At 41.7% G+C, this 23,369-nt stretch overlaps 1 protein-coding gene across 17 annotated transcripts in view, besides 1 other annotated feature; it reads left to right on the forward strand.

Moving 5' to 3' along the window:
- Window positions 1,334-1,393: an enhancer, noted in NCBI's record as "active region_29807". NCBI's record gives its function as "activates an Ori minimal core promoter by ATAC-STARR-seq in GM12878 lymphoblastoid cells {active_cell/tissue: GM12878}" and the evidence as "EXISTENCE:reporter gene assay evidence [ECO:0000049][PMID:35858748]".
- Window positions 1,630-23,369, forward strand: part of CENPI (centromere protein I) — an 83,656-nt gene continuing 61,916 nt past the window's right edge. For 3 of the 17 annotated variants that reach the window (XM_017029383.2, NM_001386188.2, NM_001318521.2), the window contains exons 1-6: window positions 1,630-1,674; window positions 1,870-1,965; window positions 4,484-4,722; window positions 5,700-5,837; window positions 12,899-13,017; window positions 13,317-13,424. In XM_017029383.2, coding sequence (XP_016884872.1) covers window positions 4,497-4,722; window positions 5,700-5,837; window positions 12,899-13,017; window positions 13,317-13,424 — 591 coding nt within the window. In that variant the 5' untranslated portion in view covers window positions 1,630-1,674; window positions 1,870-1,965; window positions 4,484-4,496. Of the gene's footprint in view, window positions 2,270-3,234; window positions 3,557-4,483; window positions 4,723-5,699; window positions 5,838-12,898; window positions 13,018-13,316; window positions 13,425-23,369 lie in introns of those variants that run through there. The other 14 variants (XM_005262111.3, XM_047441953.1, XM_047441956.1 and 11 more) reach the window with 9 other exon arrangements.

Consider the following 23,369-nt stretch of genomic DNA (forward strand, 5'->3'; position numbering starts at 1 on the left):
CTGTAGTGCAGTGGTGGGATCACAGCTCACTGCAGCCTCAATCTACCAGGTTCAAGTGATCCTCCCACCTCAGCCTCCCGAATAGCTGGGACTACAGGCATACGCCACCATGCCCGGCTAATTTTTTATTTTTTGTAGAGACGGGATTTTGCCATGGTGCCCAGTCTGGCCTCGGACCCCTGGGCTCAAGCAGTCTGCTTGGCCCGGCCTTCCAAAGTGCTGAGATTACAGGTATGAGCCACCTCGCCTGGCCCAACTTTCCAATTTTATTTACGCTCCCCCACACTTTTGTGATGTTAGCATGCAAGACAGAAAGCCACATAATTAGGATCTCAATACAATGTCCAGGTTTTAGGAGTTTTGCTTAATTAGGTGATGCCAAGGGAAGTTAGAAAAATGATTTCGGAGAAAATTGAAGGTGTATCAAAGGTGAATCACTATCTTTCACTACATATATATATCTCTCCACAAAGTGGTACAAGTTGCACTGCCACAGACCTGTCACATTAGGCAAGATATTTCACCACTCAGGGCTCCAGTTTAATCATCTACAAAAAGAAGAATGTTGAAACCTTAAATTTCCTTCCAATTTACATTTCTTTGAGCCTATGAAACATGATTAAAAACATGAAAAATGATTCAAGAAATTTTCAACTTTATTAAAGGACAACATCTATCAGAAAAAATTGAAGAGCCTCAGTTGTCATGCATGATTAAATAAGAGTTGGTGAAACTATTCTGAAAACCATATATGATGTGGTAAAGTTATTTTTGCTGTATCCTTTCCCAACTACATAAACTTAAACTTTGATTATTCATCTCTAAGACTGCAGTCCTCCCCGCCCCCCGCCAAGTTTACCTAAAGTTTATAGGTATGTTTTGGTCTCAACAACTCAGTGAGAGTCATTAAATTTATCTTTTCTCTCTTATTCCTACTCTAATAAGAGATTAAATTAGGGACTAAGCTGAGAGCTCAGACTAAACCCTTGTGGCTGTTTTCAAGGTCAATTAACTCCTCATGGTTAGGAATAGTTACATGTTGACAGCCGGTTTATAGAAAACCTTGGAGGATATCCATACCCATTGTCGGTAAAAGGAGGGCAGACCCAGCCTTTCTTTCCTCCCACGCCCTAGGTTCACACGGGGAAAGCGACAGGCCCTTTAACTTAAGTCTCGGCCAGGGAGAAGCCACCTTTATTGTGAAATTTGCGGTTTCACATTTTCCTACAAAGTCCCGACATCTGGGGTCAGCCTAGGCAAAATAATCACTATAATTGATCATGTTAAATTCAAGAACCGAGACACGAATTGTCCCGTTATACGCAAAATGACGAATGTGAACATTCTTATATTCTTAGCACAGTGGGAACGCCAGCCAATCAGCTGACTCCAGCAGCAACGGCCCACTCGCTGCTCTCCTCACAGGCCCAGGTGGGTGGGGCAAGCCGCTCTCCGTAATTGGTTCTACGCCAGCGTCGTCGCGCGCGCCACCTCCCGCCACCGAGCCTCCCGCCACCTCTAGCCAATCAGGCTTCAGCTGAGTGCGTTGCTCCGCCCAGCCGCCCCTCTGGGTCTGCGCGGAAGCGCATGCGTGGGGTGGAGTCAGCTTCTTTGAATTCCGGAGGCGGCATTCGGTGGTCAGAGGCCTGTGCGGCTGCAGGTAGAGTGTCTTAGGTGAGGAGGTACTTTTAAGCACCGCGCGAAATGGGGGCGAAGAGAATTTTTTTACTTTTGAGGGTGGGACTATCCTGCAAGGTGTGACTGCGGTCGGGTTTTCCGTAGCCAGTTTCGCACCAGGGATCCTTGGGAAGCGCTGGGATGGTTCAACTGGGTGGGGTCAGAAGCTGCTCCCCTGCCCTTCTTTCCTAGGAACCTAGGAAATAACTCGGAACCTGTAACGTCCCACTGGTTTGGACATATTCCTCTCCTGATCTGGCCTCATCTGTTCCAGGGAGGTGGGATTGAGTAAGTGTCATTCCGACTATTCCTTTAGTTTTTCCTATTTGCAGCCAAAAACTTAGAAGTCATTTTTGGTTCCTCTTCCCTTTTCCCTACATCCAATTCTTTTATCACGGCCTACTTTGTCTAACTCCAAAACATTGCACGAATCCAATCATTTTCCACCTCTACACCCTAGGCCTAGTGCAGGCTACAGTCAAACCTCTTCTGGACTTCTGCGACAGCCTTTTATTTGGTTTCTTGCCGCTCCTTGACCTCTAACATTCTCGTCTCTGCACTGCAGCTAACATGATCGTCAAACACAAATCAGGTGGTATTGCTCCCCTCTCTAACCTTTCCCCCTTCCCCTATGTTTTCCCATGACATTTAAAATCCAAACTCCTTACTCTGGCCTGCAAATCCCAATATGAACTTAGTCCCTGGCTACGTTCTGACTTCATCGCTCATTACCTTTTACCTCTTTCATTCCACTCCCTCCAGACTGATGTTACTACTGTTTCTTTTCTTTTCTCTTTTCTTTCTTTCTTTCTGTCTCTGTCTGTCTCTCTCTCTCTCCCTCCCTCCCTTTCTTTCTTTCTTTCCTTTCTTTCTTCTTTCTTTTGACAGAGTTGGGCCAGGCGTGGTGGCTCACGCCTGTAATCCCAGCACTTTGGGAGGCTGAGGCAGGTGTGGATCACTTGAGGTCAGGAGTTCGAGACCAGCCTGGCTAACATGGTGAAACCCAGTCTCTACTAAAATACAACAAATAGCCGGGTATGGTGGTGTGCGCCTGTAATTCCACCTACTTGGGAGGCTGAGACAGGAGAATTGCTTGAACCCGGGAGGCGGAGGTTGTGGTGAGCCGAGATAGAGATTGCGCCACTGCAGTCCAGCCTGGGTGACAGAGTGAGACTGTCTCAAAAAAAAAAAAAAAGAAACAATGTCTCACTATGTTGCCCTCAGCTTCCCAAAGTGCTGGGATTATAGGTGTGACCCACCTTGCCCAGCCAAGCTGCTGTTTCTTTAACACATAAAGCTCTTTTTGCTTTAAGGTCTTAGTCTTAGCATGTCTTCCTCTTCTCTCTCCATGAAATACTCTTCCACCAGATCTTCACAGGGCTGGTTCCTTCTTGGCATTCAAATCTCAGTTTAAAGGTCACCTCAGAGAGGTTTTCTCTGAACACTTATTACAAAGTTACAATGTAGCTTCCCATCTCCACTTCATTTCTATCACATCACTGTGTATTATATTCATTATTGTTTACTTTTCTTCCTTTTTTTTTTTTTTTTTTTTAGACAAAGTCTTGCTCTGTCACCCAGGCTGGAGTGCAGTGGCGCAATCACGGCTCTCTGCAGCCTCGACCCCCGGGGCTCAAGCTATTCTCCTGCCTCACCCTCCTGAGTAGATAGGACTACAGGCACGTGCGGCTATGCCTAGCTAATTTTTTAAATCTTAAGTAGAGACATTGTCTCACTGTGTTGCCCAGACTGGTCTTGAACTCCTAGGTTGAAGGGATCTTCCAGCCTCTGCCTCCCGAAGTGCTGTATTACAGGTGTGAACTACCATGTCCAGTCTTAGTTGTATACTTATTTATTGACTCTCACCTCCCCCTTCAGTGTAAGTGTCATGAGAGCAGAGATCTTGATTGTTTTATTATTTTATCCCTGGTAACTAGACTTGTGCTTGGCAAATAGATGACATTTAGTAATTATTTATTAAGTGAATAAATGGGAATATTTGTCTCCTGAAAATGCTTAGTCTGGCCACCAGTTTGGCTTTTGAACTGTGCAGCTTTAACTTAGCACTGACAAATTTAGGAGCATAAAGATTAAAAGCAAAATCAAGGAGAAGTGGGGAAAATAGGAGTGGAGAAAGTAAGATTGAGTTATTGAGATGGATTAGTTTTTTTGTTTGTTGTTTGAGACAGGGTCTCACTGTGTCACCCAGGCTGGAGTGCAGTAGTGCAATCTCTGCTCACTGCAGCCTTCACCTCCTGGGTTCAAGTGATTCTCCTGCCTCAGCCTCCCGAGTAGCTGGGATTACAGGTGTGTGCCACCATGCCCAACTAGTTTTTGTATTTTTTAGCAGAGACGGGGTTTCCTCATATTGGCCAGGCTGGTCTCAAACTCCTGTACGCCTGACCTCAAGTCAGGCCCACCTCGGCCTCCCAGAGTGCTGGGATTACAGGTGTGAGCCACCACGCCCGGCCGAGATGGATTAGTTTTGGACCCACTTATATGACATAGCCATTCTAAGAGAGAACTTGCATATGTTGCCTGTACTCTTACTGGTTTTTTCCACTAGAAAGCTAGTTCAGCTGATGAATGTTACCTTGTCAGGTTGTTTCTATTTCTATTTAGGGCAAGGACTTTCTGAGAAAGTCAACCTCTAGACTTTGTTTCCTGGATTGTTGTCAACTTATTTATTGTATGCCTGTTGTATGCTAGCTATTGTATACTAAATACTGGAAACACACCCTGTCTCTGTGGAGAAAAAAGGACTGTTTGGCTGATTAATGATAACTTAACACTTGTTTCTGTGTAGAACATATGCAGTAATGTCACCTCAAAAGAGAGTTAAGAACGTCCAGGCACAAAACAGGACTTCACAAGGTAGTAGTAGTTTTCAGACCACGCTTTCAGCCTGGAAAGTAAAACAGGATCCAAGCAACTCGAAGAACATCTCAAAACATGGACAAAACAATCCAGTGGGAGATTATGAACATGCTGATGATCAAGCTGAAGAAGATGCTTTGCAAATGGCAGTGGGATATTTTGAGAAAGGTAAAGGTGGATTGTTTTCCTTATGAAACTCCTATTTCTGTAAAAATATTCTAGTCTTTTTTTCTTAAGAATTTTTAAAGGAAAGCATAATTTTGCTCATTCATGCTTTTGTTTATTTAATAGACATTGAGCAATTACTATATATCAGTATGCTAGGCACTAGGGACACAACAACAAAACTTACTAGCAGAGTGGTTCCCAAACGGCTGCATATTGGGATCACTTGAGAACCTTTTTTTCTTTTTTTTTTTCCTCCCTCTCTACCCCTTTGGCTCTGAGAATCTTTAACAAACAAACTGATGTCAGGCATCTACTCTTAGACTTTCTGATTTTATTGGTATGGGATGCAACCTGGCATAGGGATTTTTTTTAAAGGCTTCCTAGGTGGTTCCAATGTATGGTAAAGTTTGGGAACCACTGTCCTAATATTGAAACAGGTTGTAGTCTAAGTTCAGTGCTTTTAGTTTAGAATAGGAATGTCAGGGCATAATCCAGCTTTCCTCACTGAAGTTGCTATCGCTGTTAAATATTCTTTAGTTAAAAACATCTTTGAACAGTTTTTGGGAAGACACTTCTTACATAAACTCCTTTATTTATTTTTGGAGACGGGGTCTTGCTCTGTTGCCCAGGCTGGAGTGCAGTGGCATGATCATTGTACGTTTAACCTTTTGGGCACAAGTGATCCTCCCATCTCAGCCTCCTGAGGAGCTGGGACCACAGGTGCGTGCCAGCATGCCCAGCTAGTTTTTAATTTTTTTGTAGAGATGGAGTCTTGTCATGTTGCCCAGGCTGGTCTCAAACTCCTGGCCTCAAGTGATCCTCTTACTTTGGCCTCCCAAAATGCTGGAATTACAGATGTGGGTCACCACGCCTGGTTATTAAGCTATTCCTTTAAAGAGTTCCAAATTCTTATTATTGAGGCCGAAGACTGAAATAATTTTAAAGGTCTCACTATTTAATATTGTTTCTTTTTTCAGGTCCCATTAAAGCTTCACAGAATAAAGATAAAACCTTGGAAAAACACTTGAAAACTGTGGAAAATGTGGCTTGGAAGAATGGGTTAGCTTCAGAAGAAATTGATATTCTATTAAATATTGCACTCAGTGGCAAATTTGGTATGTTGAGGAAATGCTTTTTTTTTCTTTTAACTCACCTAGCACCTATATTTTTTTCTTTTAAAAATAAATCTTATATATATATACACACACACACACACACACATATATATATATACTTTTTTTTATAATAGAGACAGCATCTCACTATATTGCCCAGGTTGGTCTCGAACTCCTAGACTCAAGTGATCCTCCCGCCTTGGCCTCTCAAAGTGCTGGGATTATAGGCTTGAGCCACCGCACCTGGCTCGAGGGGGATGTTGTTTTGTTTTTTGTTTTTTGTTTTGAGATGGAGTCTTGCTCTGTCACCCAGGCTGTAGTGCAGTGGCACCATCTCAGCTCACTGCTACCTCTGCCTCTCGGGTTCAAGCAATTCTCCTGCCTCAGCCTCCTGAGTAGCTGGGACTACAGGTGCGTGCCACCACACCTGGCTAATTTTTTGTATTTTTTTTTTTTTTTTAGTAGGGACGGGTTTTTGCTGTGTTAGCCAAGATGGTCTCCATCTCCTGACCTCGTGATCCGCCTGCCTCGGCCTCCCAAAGTGCTGGGATTACAGGTGTGAGCCACCGTGCCTGGCCGAGGGGATTTTTTTTTCTTTTGGGAGACTGGGTCTCACTCCATCGCCCAGGCTGGAGTGCAGTGGCGCAATCTCAGCTCACTGCAACCTCCACTTTCCGGGTTCAAGCAGTTCTCTGCCTCAGCCTCCCGAGTAGCTGGGATTACAGGTGCCTGCCACCACGCCCGGCTAATGTTTTTGTATTTTTAGTAGAGACAGGGTTTCACCATCTTGGGCAGACTGGTCTTGAACTCCTGACCTCGTGATCCACCCGCCTCGGCCTCCCAAAGTGCTGGGATTACAGGTGTGAGCCACTGCGCCCAGCCTGGGATGCTTTTGTCATCACTTTGCTGTTAGTTTTTCCTTTTAGACTTTGTTTATTTATTTTTTTGAGACTGAGTTTTGCACTTGTTGCCCAGGCTGGAGTGCAGTGGTGCAATCTTGGCTCACTGCAACCTCTGCCTCCCAGGTTCAAGCGATTCTCCTGCCTCAGCCTCCTGAGTAGCTGGGATTACAGGCATGCGCCACCACGCCTGACTAGTTTTGTATTTTTAGTGGAGATGGGGTTTCTCCATGTTGGTCGGGTTGGTCTCGAACTCCCGACCTCAGGTGATCCGCCCACCTCGGCCTTCCAAAGTGCTGGGATTACAGGCGTGACCCACTGTGTCCGACCTTCCTTTTAGACTTTGAATTACATTGTTCATTGGAATTAGTTGCAGTTTTTTATGTTTACTGTTCTCTTCATAAGACCAATCTGTTAAGATTATAAAATGGGTTTTTTTGTGTGTGTGTTTGGGCCAAAAGTTTCTGTGTGCATATGCCAAAAATAACCAGTTACCATATATCATCACAGATAAAATGCAAAATACATACTTTTGTCACCAAATACATGAGAACCATTTTTTAGTATTTATCTTAAGAAGCATACGTAGTAATTTAAACAATGTTGCTGGAAGGCATCTTAAAAGATCACTTAGTCTACTTCATTACCTTCATTTTCTTTCTTTCTTTCTTTTTTTTTTTTTGAGATGAGTTTCACTCTTTCACCCAGGCTGGAATGCAATGGCATGATCTCGGCTCACTGCAACCTCTGCCTCCTGGGTTCAAGCGATTCTCCTGCCTCAGCTTTCTGAGTAGTTGGGCTTATCGGCATGTGCCACCACACCCAGCTAATTTTTGTATTTTTAGTAGAGACGGGGTTTCGCCATGTTGGCCAGGCTGGTCTCAAACTTCTGACCTCAGGTGATCCACCCGCCTTGGCCTCCCTAAGTGCTAGGATTACAGGCGTGAGCCAGTGTGCCCAGCTAAGATGCTTTTTCTTTTGTGCAAATATCTTTTCCTGTTCTAAATTCATTGGTGGTGGTTGGGATGGTTGGAAGAGGTTCTTAGAAATAACACCTGGTCAATATTTTATTTACTTGAACCTTTTAAGTTTTTCTCATTTAAATTCAGACTTGGAAGATATTTTAGACTCTAAACACTCTCATTTAAAGGTGAGGAAAAAGAGGCTCAGAGTAGTTAAAGAGACTTGCTTAAAGATGTCCAAACTCCCATTCTAGTGCTTATACTGTACCACATTGCTGCTTTTTTTCCTACTTAAAAAAAAGTTAAGGCTGGGTATAGTGGCTCATGCCTATAATCCCAGCACTTTGAGGGGCCAAGGCAGGATGATTGCTTGAAGCCAGATTTGAGACCAGCCTGGGCAACAAAGCGAAACCTTGTCTACAAAATGTTAAAAAAAAATTAGCTAGGTGCAGTGGCATGTGCCTGTAGTCCCAGCTACTTGGGAGTCTGAGGCAAGAGAATCACTTGAGCCCAGGAGTTTGAGCTATGATGGTGCCACTGTACTCCAGTGTGGGCCACAGAGCAAGACCCTGTCTCTGGGAAAAAAAAAAAAAAAGAAAAATTAAGACAGCTCTCAAAACCAAATGCTTTATATACTAAGTATTTCCTGGCTGTTGCATGTTAGATTCCTTTGTTTATACCCTAGCAGCATACTTGCAGGGGTGTGTGTGTATTTATTTTAAAGTAACAACACATTACTAACCGAATTCAACATATGACTGTCAAGTATTTTATTTCTCTATTTTTATCTGATTAGTTCTCTGTTTCCCTAGAAAGTTAAATTAGACCTAATAAAATTGGCTTTTTTCTTGTAGATGGTTTTAGATTATTTGGTTCTAATATCTTTCCAGGAATCCATGTTTAACTGAACAATGTCTGTCAAGATCAATTCTCCCACTCCCATCTCACCTTAAAACATATATGGAGTAGGGGCCGGGTGCAGTGGCTCACGCCTGTAACCCCAACACTTTGGGAGGCCGAGGTGGGCGGATCACGAGATCAGGAGATCGAGACCATCCTGGCTAACATGGTGAAACCCCGTCTCTCCTAAAAATACAAAAAATTAGCCGGGCGTGGTGTCGGGCGCCTGTAGTCGCAGCTACTTGGGAGGCTGAGGCAGGAGAATGGCGTGAACCCAGGAGGCGGAGCTTGCAGTGAGCCGAGGTCATGCCACTGCACTCAAGCCTGGGTGAAGAGCGAGACTCCATCTCAAAAAAACAAAACAAAAAAACAACATGTATGGAGTATACAGATGTTTTCTATTTTAGAAATTTTTTTTTCGTGACAGAGTCTCGCTGTGTTGTCCAGACTGCAGTGCAGTGGTATGATCATGGTTCACTGCAGCCTTGACCTTCTGGACTCAAGCAATCCTCCCATCTCAGACTCCCAAGTAGATGGGACTACAGGTGCGTGCCACTGCACCCAGCCTCCTTTTGATATCTCAGAAATTAATGATTAGGTTATCTTGATGTCTGCTAGGACTTGAGGTGTCTCAAAATGCATGCCTCAGACTCGGGAAACTTTTATATAGCAAGTTAAAAAATAATCTCTGGCTTTCTATTGTTACTTTTCATTTTTTTTTTCTGTTAAGCTGGAATTTGCTGAGGTCAAATGTGGCCTCCTTAATTCCTTTTCTCCCTTTTATTATAGTTATTTCTGTGATGTCCCCATCCCTACTAGATCTTTACATGCAGCTCTTTTGGTAAGTTGAGATGCATATTTAGAGGCAGGTATGGTAGAAATGTCATCATAATTAGGTACAAAGGGACTTTAGACTCTTTAAAAATTAAGTCACTTGGAAGTAAAAATAGAATTAATATTGAATTCTCCCTTTGAATTTGGTGCACATGTAATGTGTTGGTGGTGAGACTATTTTAAATTTCGAAGAGTTAGTGGATGGGAGTGAGAAAGAAAACAAGAAAAACAAGAAACCACAAGAGTGGAAAGCAGAGATTTTTATTTTTGTGATTCATTACCTATCATCACTGCTTCCTTTCTTCTCCACAGAATGATAGTGTAGAAAGTGATGAGATATATTCTAATTCTTGAAGCCTTAATTAACAGAAATTGAGATAGGATATATTCAAAGCCAGTCTCTATGACATCTTTTTTTTTTTTTTTTGAGATGGAGTTTTGCTCTTGTCACCCAGGCTGGAGTGCAATGGTGTGATCTCAGCTAACTGCAACCTCCGCCTCCCGGGTTCAAGCGATTCTCCTGCCTCAGCCTCCTGAGTAGCTGGGATTACAGGTGCCCGCCACCATGCCCAGCTAAGTTTTGTATTTTTAGTAGAGATGGGGTTTCACCACGTTGGCCAGGCTGGTCTCGAACTCCTGACCTCAGGTGATCTCTGTGACATCATTTCTATTACCAGATGGGAGAACACCATAGAGGCCTGAGATCAAGTGGAAAGATTGGACTAGTGTAGAATGGTATTACTGCCAGCCAATTCCAAGAATATCTTGTTCTAGGCCAGTCACAGTGGCTCATGCCTGTAATCCCAGCACTTTGGGAGGCCAAGGTGGGCAGATCCCTTGAGCCCAGGATGTGAGACCAGCCTGGGCAACATAGTGAGACCTTGTCTTTGCTAAAAATAAAAAACTTAACCAGGTATGGTGGCACGTGCCTGTAGTCCCAGCTACTCTGGAGGCTGAGGTGGGAGGATTGCTTGAGCCCAGGAATTTGAGGTTGTTATGAGCTATGATTGCACCACTGCACTCCAGCCTGGGTGACAGAGTCAGACCCTGTCTCAAAAAAAAAAAAAAAAAAAAAGAATATCTGTTCTCTTCTGCTACTCTCCCCACTTTTTTGGGGTGAGTGGATGGTACAAATATATATATTTTTAATTTTATATTTATGTTTTTATTTCTGGTTCACATTCTCTCATGAACAAATACATTCTTAAATGTAACACCTCATGCAAAGTGTCCGTCAGTAGCTTTAAATAAATCAGTCTATTAGGCCATTAAAAAAAAATCTTTGAAATTTCCCTGTGATTGAAAGCTTTTTTGGAGGTATAATTTACATACCATAAAATTCATTTTTTTTCTTTTCTTTTTTTTGTGAGATGGAGTTTCACTCTTATTGCCCAGGCTGGAGTGCAATGGTGTGATCTTGGCTCACTGCAGCCTCTGCCTCCTGGGTTCAAGCGATTCTCCTGCCTCAGCCTCCCGAGTAGCTGGGATTACAGGCTCCCACCACCACACCCAGCTAATTTTTGTATTTTTAGTAGAGATGGGGTTTCACCATGTTGGCCATGCTGGTCTTGAACTCCTGACCTCAGATGATCTGCCTGCTTCGGCCTTCCAAAATGCTGGGATTACAGTTGTGAGCCACCGTGCCCTCATAAAATTCATTGTTTTATTTTTTTATTTTTGAGATGGAGTTTCACTCTTGTAGCCCAGGGTGCAGTGCAATGGCATGATCTTGGCTCACTGCAACCTCTGCCTCCCGGGTTCCAGTGATTCTCCTGCCTCAGCCTCCCGAGTGGCTGGGATTACAGGCGCCTACCACAACACTTGGCTAATTTTTTTTTTTTTTTTTTTGAGACGGAGTTTTGCTCTTGTCACCTGGGCTGGATTACAGGCGTGAGCCACCACACCTGGCCTAATTTTGTATTTTTTTTATTAGAGATGGGGTTTCATCACCTTGGCCAGGCTGGTCTTGAACTCCTGACCTCAGGTGATCTGCCTGCCTCAGCCTCCCAAAGTGCTAGAATTACAGGCGTGAGCTACTGTGCCCGGCAAAATTCATTGTTTTAAAAATTCAGCATTTTTGTTTTTGGAGACAAAGTCTCACTCTGTCACCCAGGCTGGAGTCTAGTGGTGTGATCTCAGTTCACTGCAACCTCCACCTTCCAGGCTCAAGCGATCCTCCCACGTCAGCCTCCCAAGTAACTGGGACTATAGGCATGTGCTACCACATCTGGCTAATTTTTATATTTTTTGTAGAGATTGGGGTCTCACTATATTGCCTAGGCTAATCTCAAACTCCTAGGCTCAAGCAGTCCTCCGGCCTCAGCCTCCCAGGAGGCACCACCATGCCCAGCTAATCTTTTTTTTTTTCCCATAGAGACGGGGTCCTGCTATGTTGCCCAGGCTGGTCTCAAACTCCTGGGCTCAAGTGATCCATCTGCTTCAGCATCCCAAAGTGCTTAGATTATAGGCATGTGTCACCACGCTCGGCCCCAAATTCAGCATTTTTTTAAAGCATAGTCACAGAGTTGTGTAATCATCACCACTATCTAATTCTTGAACATTTTCATCACCCCAAGAAGAAACCCTGTACTCATTTATATTTTTTAAATAGAAATATTTGGACCAAATAATTTGCCTTATAGTTTTTTTTTTTTTTGAGAGAGGGTCTCACTCTGTCACCCAGGCTGGAGTGCAGTGGCACGATCACAGCTCACTGCAGCCTCAACCTCCCTGGGCTCAGGTGTTTCCCCCACATCAGCCTCCCGAGTTGCTGTGACTACAGGCTTGCCCCACCACCCTTGGCTAATTTTTGTATTTTTAGTAGATAACGGGGTTTTGTCATGTTGCCCAGGCTAGTCTTGACCTCCTGGGCTCAAGTGATCCGCTTGCCTCGGCCTCCCAAAGTGTTAGGATTATAGGCATGAGCCACTGTGCCTAACTATTGCCTTATTGTATATTAGTAGTTAAAGGTACATTTTTGTTTTGAACAATTTATTAATAATGATAAGAGATACTGAATTTTACATACTGTTGGTTTTTATTGCCTTCAATATAACGTGAGGTGTGGTGTTTTTTTTTTTTTTTTTTTTTTTGAGATGGAGTTTTGGTCTTGTTGTCCAGGCTGGAGTGCATGGCGTGATCTTGGCTCACCGCAACCTCTGCCTCCTGGGTTCAAGCGATTCTCCTGCCTCAGCCTCCCGAGTAGCTGGGATTACAGGCATGCTCCACCACGCCCAGCTAATTTTTATATTTTTAGTAGAGATAGGGTTTCTCCATGTTGGTCGGGCTGGTCTTGAACTCCCAACTTCAGGTGATCTGCCCACCATGGCCTCCCAAAGTGCTGGGATTACAGGCATGAGCTGCCGCGCCCAGCCTAATGTGAGATTTTTAGATCCAAGAGTGAATAATAGTAAAAGAACAATCGAGACACTAAAATGTAGTTTAATTTAGCTTGTCTCCTTTCCAGGAAATGCTGTAAACACACGGATATTGAAGTGCATGATCCCAGCAACAGTAATATCAGAAGATTCTGTGGTTAAGGCAGTCTCCTGGCTTTGTGTTGGCAAGTGTTCTGGTAGCACCAAGGTAATCTTTTTAAACACTTTGATGATAAGTCCTTCAGAACCACTTAAGGGCTGGCAAGGAAGAGCCACTTATGAAGTAATGGCATTGGCCTTTTGTGCAAAGCCTGTAGTTTTGGAACAATATATCTTGATGCAAGGACTATGTTCAAACAGAAATTTTTACTGAGAAATAAAATCTATTATTCTACTTTGTGCCTGAAGCTTCTAAAATAGCCCTGGTGGCGGGGGACGGGGGGCGGAATTAAACTCTTCTGTACCAGTTATATTTCTTTAAAGATAAGTATTTTGTCTCTTCAATAGGTACTTTTTTATCGTTGGCTGGTTGCAATGTTTGACTTCATTGATCGTAAGGAGCAAATTAACTTGCTCTATGGCTTCTTTTTTGCTTCATTGCAAGATGATGCACTGGTAAGTAAAAATTGGACAGCATTAGGCATCAATCAAATAGTACATGTGTGTATATTGATGCACCATATATGCTTCAGTGTGCTACACAATATGTTTTTCCTTATTTTAAAAATATATCAAACATATAGAAATGTACCAAGATAACGTAGACATATCAAATATACAGAAAAGGGCAAATAATAACATTCTATTTTGCACCTGTCTCTCAGATTAACAAATAGAAAATTTTTATCGTATTTACTTTATGTCTTCTTTTAAGGAAATAAAAATGTTACAGATAAAGTTGATTCCACGTTGGAGTCTTGTTTGCTGATCTGGAGCACTCATTGCCATCTTTTCCCTTTTAAACCACTTCAACAGAGTCCTTTGAGTCATTTACTCTACATTTTCTTGATTAACACTGCAAAAGCCTCATCAGAATTAATGAGAAGGAGAGGATTACTTTTCATGAGTGCCAATGGAGTGATTTTGATTAAATAGCATAATTATTTCTCTTAAAAACATTAATAACTTTAAGAAATCAATCTACTGTCCACCTGGAAGACTTTCAAGGACCATCAGTAGTTCACAGACCATGTGAATCACTCATCTAACTGTATTGCTCTTGCCTTTGGGAAGGGAATTCATTTATTGATTTTATTTTTTAAAAATGATGTTTCCAGTGTGTTCATTGCATTGTCCTAGCCACTGTAGAAGATTCAAAGTTTAGCATAGGGTTTCTATATTCCACGAACTTGAAATCTCATTGGGGAATTAAGGAAATCACATAAATTATCAAAAACAGTATATGATAGTTTGAGGATAATAATTGCTGTAATATTTCCAGGAAGGAAGAAAGCACTGTAAATCAAAATGATTAGTTAAAACACCATAAAGTATGTGGGTGTTGAGCTGGGCCTTACAGGTTGAATAGGATTTGGGATTTGATGACAGAAAGTGATACTTGATATGATGGGAATATTTCAAGCAAAGTTGTGAGGTGTGTAAATTGTGTTTTAGGAGACCTTAAATAGACCAGCCTGACCTAATTAGAGGTGGTGTTAGGTGGTAAGCCTGAAAAAGTTGGGTGAGGACAGATTGTAGAGGTCTTCCAATGTGATGCTAAGGAATTGGAACTTTATTCAGTGGGGAAATCACTGAAAATTTTTGGCTAGAATATGTTGAAAGCAGCTTTGTAGGAAGCTATATCTAGTAGTTCCCAACAATGTGAATTAAGAGAGAGGCTGAAGGCAGGAATACTAGTTAGGAAGCTGACATGATAATCTAGGTATAACATGATGTCCTAGACAAGAAATTCTCAAATATGGTCTGTGGACCCCCTGGGGCTTCCTGAGACCCTTTCAGGAAGTCCAAGAGGTCAAAATTATTTTCATAATAATACCAAGGTATTATTTGCCATTTTCACTTTGTTCACCTTAGCGTTGATGGTGCTAAAGCAATGGTGGGTAAAACTGCTGGCCATTTAACAGGAATCAAGGCAGTGGCACCAAACTATACTAGCATATTCTTCATTATGTTCTTCATTGTGGTAAAAAAAAAAATGCTAATTTCACTTAATGTCAAATGAAGCAGTAAAAATTAACTCATTAGTTTTATTAAATCTCTACATCTTTAATATTCTGTATGATGAAATGGCAAGTACAAACAAAGTCCTCCTGCATGCTAAAGTACAGTGGTTATTCTGAGGAAAAGCATTTGTGTGATTGAGTTGCGAGCCAAACTAGCTCCATTTTTATTTGAAAGAATGACTGATGGCCAAGCGCGGTGGCTCACACCTGTAATCCCAGCATTTTGGGAGGCCGAGGCAGGTGGATCACAAGGTCAAGAGATTGAGACCATCCTGGCCAACATGGTGAAACCCCGTCTCTGCTAAAAATACAAAAATTAGCTGGGCATGGTGGCACATGCCTGTAGTCCCAGCTACTCGGGAGGCTGAGGCAGGAGAATCACTTGAACCCAGTAGGCAGAGGTTGCAGTGAGCCAAGATTGTGCCACTGCACTCCGGCCTGGCGACAGAGTGAGACTCTGTCTCAAAAAAAAAGAATGACTGACGTACGAACCGTAGTTATACAGACTTGGGTACTTGGAAGATGTTTTCTTGAAAATGAACAAAACAGTCCTGTTATTTCAAAGAAAACAACTGGCCGTATCTGTTGCCAGTGATAGAATTTGAGCATTCAAGTGAAAAATCAAAGTTTGGAAAATTTGTATCTGCCACTATGAACCTGACAGCTTTTAGATACCTGAAAGACTTTTCTAATAATTGGTGATGGTATTAATGTTGTGATTTTTAGTTATCATATAATGAAATGTGTCAGCATTTGGAAGCTCAGTATAACTCAGTGAGCCAATATTTTCCAGATGAACAAGTACGATGTTCTAAATTCATACATGGATAAAAGATCCATTTAAAATACAAGATACATCAATGAATTTTAATGGAACAGAGTACAGAGCTTTTATTGAGAGTGTTTCAGATTCCACATTGCAGCTAACCCTTAAGAAAGTACCACTTGTCAAGTTTTGGTGTAGTATCAAAAACTAATATCCACAATTTTCTGAAAAGGCTTTTAAAATATTCCTACCTTTTCCAACTATGTATCTGTGTGAGGCTGGATTTTCTTCATGCAATTCAATCAAAACATAACAGAATTAATATAGAAGCACAGATTCCAACTGTGTTCTCTTAAGCCAGAGACATTAAAAAGATTTGTAGAAATGGGCTGTGAGTTGGAGGCAGCAGTGAGCCTCAGGTGATCCACCCGCCTCGGGTTCCCAACGTGCTGGGATTACAGGTGTGAGCTACCACACTGGCCAAGGGGTCCTCTAATTTTTTTTTTTTTTGGGACGGAGTCTCACTCTGTTGCCGTGCCCGGCTGAGAATTAGTTTATTTACCTTGGTGTAGTGATTATTGATATAGTAGAAATAAATTCAGATATCTTATTTTGAGATATTCTAAATAAGCTTTTTTTTTTTCTAAGTGTTCTCTATCCTCCTTTTTTTGGATTGACCGTAGTTTCTTTCCTATTCTTGTTTGGAAGTCACCTAAGTGTTTTCGTACCTACTTAACATGCATACTTTAAGTCTAAAAGTGACTGGCATCTGTACCTTTATCTTATAGGATACAAAAACCTTAGGATGCTTTAACTCTTTTTTTCTTTTTCTTTTTTTTCTCTTCTTGTCATATGGTGCTGAAGAATGCTTTAACTCTCATCATACTGCTCCTGGCTTATATGCTGTTGTTGTCTGGTTTTAGTTTTACCTTGTTTTTCTCCATCCCTTTACACACACACACACACACACACACACACACACACACACACAGAGTAGATTTTTTTTTTTTTTGAGATGGAGTTTCACTCTTGTTGCCCAGGCTGGAGTACAATGGTGTGATCTTGGCTTACCGCAGCCTCTGTCTCCTGGGTTCAAGCCTCAGCCTCCCAAGTAGCTGGGATTACAGGTATGTGCTACCACGCCCAGCTAATTTTTTGTATTTTTAGTAGAGACAGGGTTTCTCCAGGTTGGTCAGGCTGGCCTCAAACTCAGGTGATCCGCCTGCCTCGGCCTCCCAAAGTGCTGGGATTAGAGGCATGAGCCACCACGCCTGGCCGATACTATTTTTACAGTTGATAATTGTTTAGATTTCCCACATATCTCCCAGTATCTTTGCTCATCATTTGTTTTTGCATCTCACACCTTCAAGATGAGATTATTTTCCTTTGGCTAAAAGTGTATTTTTTATTCTTTCATTGAAAATCTTTTGATGGCAAACTCTTTGTCTGAAAATGTCTCTACTTTGCCCTTGTTCTCAAAAACTGGTATTAGTGTATGTAGAATTCTAGAGTGACAGTTAAATTTTTTCGGGATATTGACAATATTATTCCACTGGCTCCTTGCTTCCATCATGTTATTGAATCAGTCTAATTGTAATCCTTTTTTTCTTTTCTCTCTGGCTGCTTTTAAAAAACAGCTTTAGGCCAGGAGTGGTGGCTCACCTCTGTAATCCCAGCACTTCGGGAGGCCGAGGGGGGCAGATCACCTGAGGTCAGGAGTTTGAGAACAGCCTGGCCAACATGGCGAAACCCCATCTCTACTAAAAATACAAAAATTAGCCAGGCATGGTGACAGGCACCTCTAATCCTAGCTACCTGGGAGGCTGAGGCAGGAGAATCACTTGAACTGGAGAGGCGGAGATTGCAGTGAGCCAAGATTGCGCCACTGCACTTTCCAGCCTGGGTGACGAGCGAGACTCTGTCTCAAAAAACAAACAAACCAACCAACAAACAAACACAGCTTTATTGAGATTTAATTCACATACCATACAATTCACCCATTTAAAGTATTCAATTTGCTGATTTTAAGTATAGTCACAGATATGTACAACCATTTCAGCATAGTCAATTTTAGAACATTTTCATCACCTCAAAAAGAAAAAAAGAAACCCCACACCCTTTGCTATCACTCCCATCTCTCTATTACCCCCCTAGCTCTAAGCAACCCCTAATCTAATTTTCTGTCTTTATAGGTTTGCCTATTTTGGACATTTTATATAAATGAACTCATGTAATAATGTGGTCTTTTATGACTTGCCTCTTAGCAAAATGTTTTCAAGTTTCATCTGTGTTATAGCATGTATTAGTACTTTTTTTTTCCCCCTGAGACAGAGTTTCACTCTTGTTGCCCAGGCTGGAGTGCAGTGGTGCAATCTCGGCTCAATGCAACCTCCGCCTCCCAGGTCCAAGCGATTCTCCTGCCTCAGCCTCCTGAGTAGCTGGGATTACAGTCATGTGCCACCACGCCTGGCTAATTTTTGGTATTGTTAGTAGAGACAGGGTTTCTCCATGTTGGTCAGGCTGGTCTTGAACTCCTGACCTCAGGTGATTCGCCTGCCTCGGCCTCCCAAAGTGCTGGGGTTACAGGCATGAGCCACTACGCCTGGTGTATTAGTACATAAAAAAATTTTTTTTTTAATTTATTTTTTGAGACAGAGTTTCACTCTTGTCACCCAGGCTGGAGTGCAATGACGCGATCTCAGCTCACTGCAACGTCCACCTCCCGGGTTCAAGTGATTCTCCTGCCTCAGCCTCCCGAGTAGCTGTGATTACAGGCCTGCACCACCACGCCTGGCTAATTTTTGTATTTTTAGTAGAGATGGGGTTTCGCCATGTTGGCCAGGCTGGTCTCAAATCTCTGACCTCAGGTAATCCGCCCTCCTTGGCCTCCCAAAGTGTTAGTATTACAGGCTTGAGCCACCGAGCCCGGCCATTTATTTTTTTCATTATTTCTATTTTTTTTTTTTAAATTTGAGATGGGGTCTCACTCTTGTGCAGGCTGGAGTGCAGTGGCACTATCATGGCTCACTGCAGCCTCGATTGATCAGCCTGGGTAACGAGCGAGACTCTGTCTCAAAAAAAAAGAACAAAGACAAACACAGCTTTATTGAAATTTATTTCGCATATCATACAATGAGTCATCCACTTCATCCTTCAGAGTAGCTGGGACTACAGGCATGTGCTACCATGCCTGGCTAATTTTTAAAGTTTTTCTAGAGGCAGAGTCTCACTATGTTGCCCAGGCTGGCCTTGATTTTCTGGCCTTAAGCAATCCTCTTGCCTCGGCCTCCCAAAGTGCTGGAATTATAGATGTGAGGCACTGTGCCTGACTCTCACCATTTTAAAACATTTTTTTGGTGTATAATTCATTGACATGAATTACATTCACAGTGTCATGCAAGCATCACCACTATCTATTTACAAAACTTTTTCATTACCCTAAACTGAAATTTTCTAACCATTACGCAGTAACTCCCTATTCCCTCTTTCCCCTGCTCCTGGTAGCCTCTAATCTACTATCTGTCTCTATGAATTTGCCTATTCTAGGTACCTCATATAAGTGGATTCATACAGTATTTATCCTTTTGTGTCTGGCTTCTTTCACTTAACATAATGTCTTCAAGGTTCATCCATTTGTACCATGTATCGGAACTTCATTCCTTTTTATGGGTGAATAATATTCTACTTCATATATATGCAGTCAGCCCTCTGTGTCTGAGGGTTCTGCATCCATGGATTCATCCAATTATTGATTGAAAATATTAAAAGATACATATAACAATAAAAAATAATACAAATAAAAAATATAGTGTAATAACTATTTACATAGCATTTGCATTATGTTAAGTATTATAACTAATCCGGAGACGATTTAAAGCAAGCTTGTCCAACCCACAGCCCAGGATTGCTCTGAATGAGGCCCAACGCAAATTCATAAGCTTTCTTAAAACATTATGAGATTTTTGGGGGGTTTTTTTTTTAAGCTCATCAGCTATCGTTAGTGTATTTTATGTGTGGCTCAAGACAATTCTTCTTCCAATGTGGCCCGGATAACAAAAGACTGGGCACCCCCTGATTAAAGTATACAGGAGGATGTGCATAGATTATATGCAAGTACTACACAATTTTATATAAGGAACCTGAGAATCCGCAGAGTTTGATATGGTGGCGGGGAAGGGAAGTCCTGGAACCAATCCCCTGCTGATAACAAGGGATGACTATATCTAATTTTGTTTATCCATTCATCTGATGTTGGACATTTGAGTTGTTCTCACTTTTTGGCTATTGTGAATGGTGCTGTGTTGAGTATTGGTATATAAATATCTGTTCAGGTTCCTGCTTTTTCAGTTCCTTTGAGTGTATACCTAGGAAAAAAATTACTGTATCATATGGCAATTCTATGTTCAGCTTTTTGAGGAATCGCCAAACTCTTTTCCACAGTGGCTGTACCATTTTTCATTCCTGCCAGCAGTCTATAACAGGGTTCAAATTTCATCACATCCTCACCAATACTGGCTATTTTATCTGACTTGATTATAGCCATGCTAGTAGGTGTGAAGTGGTCTTTCATTGTGGTTTTGATTTGCATTTCCCTGATAACTAATGATATTGAGCAACTTTTCATGTGCTTATTGGCCATTTGTATACCCTCCCTGGAGAAATGTCTCTTAGGATCCTTTGCCCTCTTTTAAATTGGGTTGTTCATTATCCTATAGGGTTGTAAGAGTTCTTTCTGTATTCTAGATACAAGTCCCTAGATACAAGATATATGATTTACCTGAGAGTTACAAAGTTAGAGCCACTTTAAGTTACTCTCTTTAGGTTTTCCAGGCCATCCCACTAGTGTAAATTCAAACTGCAGACATATATATATAATTTTTTTTTTGACAGAGTTTTTTGCTCTTGTTGCCCAGGCTGGAGTGCGATGGCGCGATCTTGGCTCATCGCAACCTCTGCCTCCTGGGTTTAAGCGATTCTCCTGCCTCAGCCTCCCAAGTAGCTGGGATTACAGGCATGCACCACCATGCCTGGCTAATTTTGTATTTTTAGTAGAGACGGGGTTTCTCCATGTTGGTCAGGCTGGTCTCAAACTCTTGACCTCAGGTAATCTGCCTGCTCTCCCAAAGTGTTGGGATTACAGGCATGAGCCACCGCGCCTGGCCAAACTGCAGACGTTTTTTGAGCTGGCTTCTGGTTACAAATTCTTGGGAAAGGTTTTATTTTCCTTTCACCCATTTCCAAGGTCAGGACAAGCAAGTTTTCTTGCTGTCCTGTTCAACACAGTGGAGTTTTAATTTCACAACCATACACTTAGTGTGTAGCTCTTGGGGATTCCAGTTTTTTATTATAATAGATCCTCTGCATAATCTACACATTGGGTGGGTCCTAAGCTTTATCCCCTGCCTAACCTATCCCTGCCTCCCTTTGTAGCTATTAAAGTCGTAAGTTCAAAGTTTCTAAGGTTTGGCAAAAAATCTTGGTGAGAAAGCTTGTTCAATATTTAGTGTTTCTACTTTCACTTTGTTTTTGGGAACTGCAGATTCTTGCTTTCATGCCAGCTCTGAAACATGCTTCAACAGCTGGATATGATGTCAAAAACATTGCTGAGCTGGCAGGAAAGCGGTCAGGGTCATTCAGAGTATCTAATACACAATATTTCTATAGATGGTTATCAGGTCATTGGAATTGAGGTCAGTAAACTGTAAGACCACGGTGATTTGTTGATATGGACATTAAAGTCATCTGGCATGATATTGGGATTAGAGTTAGAGCTGAAAACTGAGTGAGATGCCCAAATCCTCACGGAATTTTGGGGAAGGTACTAGGTTAGTAGTGAGCTGACAGGGTATAGGTAAGGTAGAGGTAGTAAAGTTGGGTGAACTAAGTCTCAGAGGAGGTCTTTTTCTATACAACGGTGAAAGAGTGGTAACCTTGGAAGTGTCGATAGAAAGTAAGGATGCAGGATGCTCATCCCTGTTCCATGTCCTGTGGTGCACAGGTGTGGTTGAATGACAAGTGGTATGTCATTGTCTCTCTCTTACCTTTGACATCTCTCTTAACCTCATATTGTTTCTGTTCATAAACTGACCAAATTGCAATACAAATGAATTCTGTGTTTAAACATACTTTGTAAAGAATAGGAAATAAGAAGAGACGCTTTCTGCTTTCTTCTAACAGCTCAATAGACTGAGTTCTTCCAGTCAGGGACTGAGCCTTTTATAACCCAAGTACTTATTAAAGTTCTTGCCATTGAAATGGCAAAAACTGCAATTACTTTTGCACCAACCTAAATATTTGCCAGAAAGGCAATTGTAAAATGATTAAAATATATGAGTTTTTCCTTTCTAGATGTGATTAAAAGAGAATGTCAGATTTCCTATAATAATGGAGTCTAGGGCAAGTGATTGTGTAACACTCATTTCATATTCAACATGATAGTATTGCTAGTAGTTCATATCCTTAAGCATATGACATAACACATTTTTTATACTGAAAATTGCTATTCTCTGTGTAGTATATGGCAGATGTGGTCATAACATGTATTCTTTCTTTTAAAAAAAGATTCCGGCCAGGTGTGGTGGCGCACACCTGTAATCCCAGCACTTTGGGAGGCCAAGGTGGTCAGATCACCTGAGGTCAGGAGTTCGAGACCACCCTGAACAACATGGAGAAACCCTGTCTCTACTAAAAGTACAAAATTAGCCGGGTGTGGTGGTGCATGCCTGTAATCTCAGCTACTTGGGAGGCTGAGGTAGGAGAATCGCTTGAACCCGGGAGGCGGAGGTTGCAGTGAGCCGAGATCATGCCATTGTGCTCCAGCCTGGGCAACAAGAGTGAAACTCCGTCTCAAAAAATAAAATAAAAATTCCATATCTAAATTCATGCTTCTTAAAAGTATGTTTAGATTCTTTCTCAAACCATTTCTAAGTACAGAAGAGGCAGTATGGAATATGCTGTAGTTTAGACTTTAAAGTTTAGAGTCATGACTACAAAAATACAAATTTGTTTAAAGAAAGTCTTTGCTCTTGTTGCTTTCTCTAGTACTATTAAATATTTTTTCACTTTCCTATTATTTAGAGAAGGTATTGGCAAACTTTTTCTTAAAGGGATAGGTAGTAAATATTCTGAGCATGAAGGCCATATTGTCTCTGTCACAACTATTCAACTCTGCTGGTGTGGTGTGCAAGCAGCTGTAGACAATAAATAAATGAATGATGTGGCTGTGTCCCAATAAAACTTTATTTACAAAAACAGGTAGACCATAGTTTCCTGACCCCTGATCTAGAGTAAGACCTCAACAGATGGACACTGAAAATGAAATGGTAGAAGGGAATCAGTCATACAATAATTTAATTAGCAAATTGAGTGCATACTGTTTGCCAAACTGAAGACTAAGCTGTTAACTAAATTCTTGTATATATACTGACTGGAATATGAAGCATCATTGAAAATGATAATTTTGAAGACTAAACAACATGGGAAAATGGTTTTAAATAGGAAATCAGGATAAAAGTTTCAAGTTTATGTCTTAATAAGTATGGGCCAGGTGCAGTGGCTCATGCCTGTAATCCTAGTACTTTAGGAGGCTGAGTCAGGAGGATCACTTGAGGC

Source organism: Homo sapiens, chromosome X, assembly GCF_000001405.40.
Source record: "Homo sapiens chromosome X, GRCh38.p14 Primary Assembly".
Classification (NCBI taxonomy): Eukaryota; Metazoa; Chordata; class Mammalia; order Primates; family Hominidae; genus Homo; species Homo sapiens.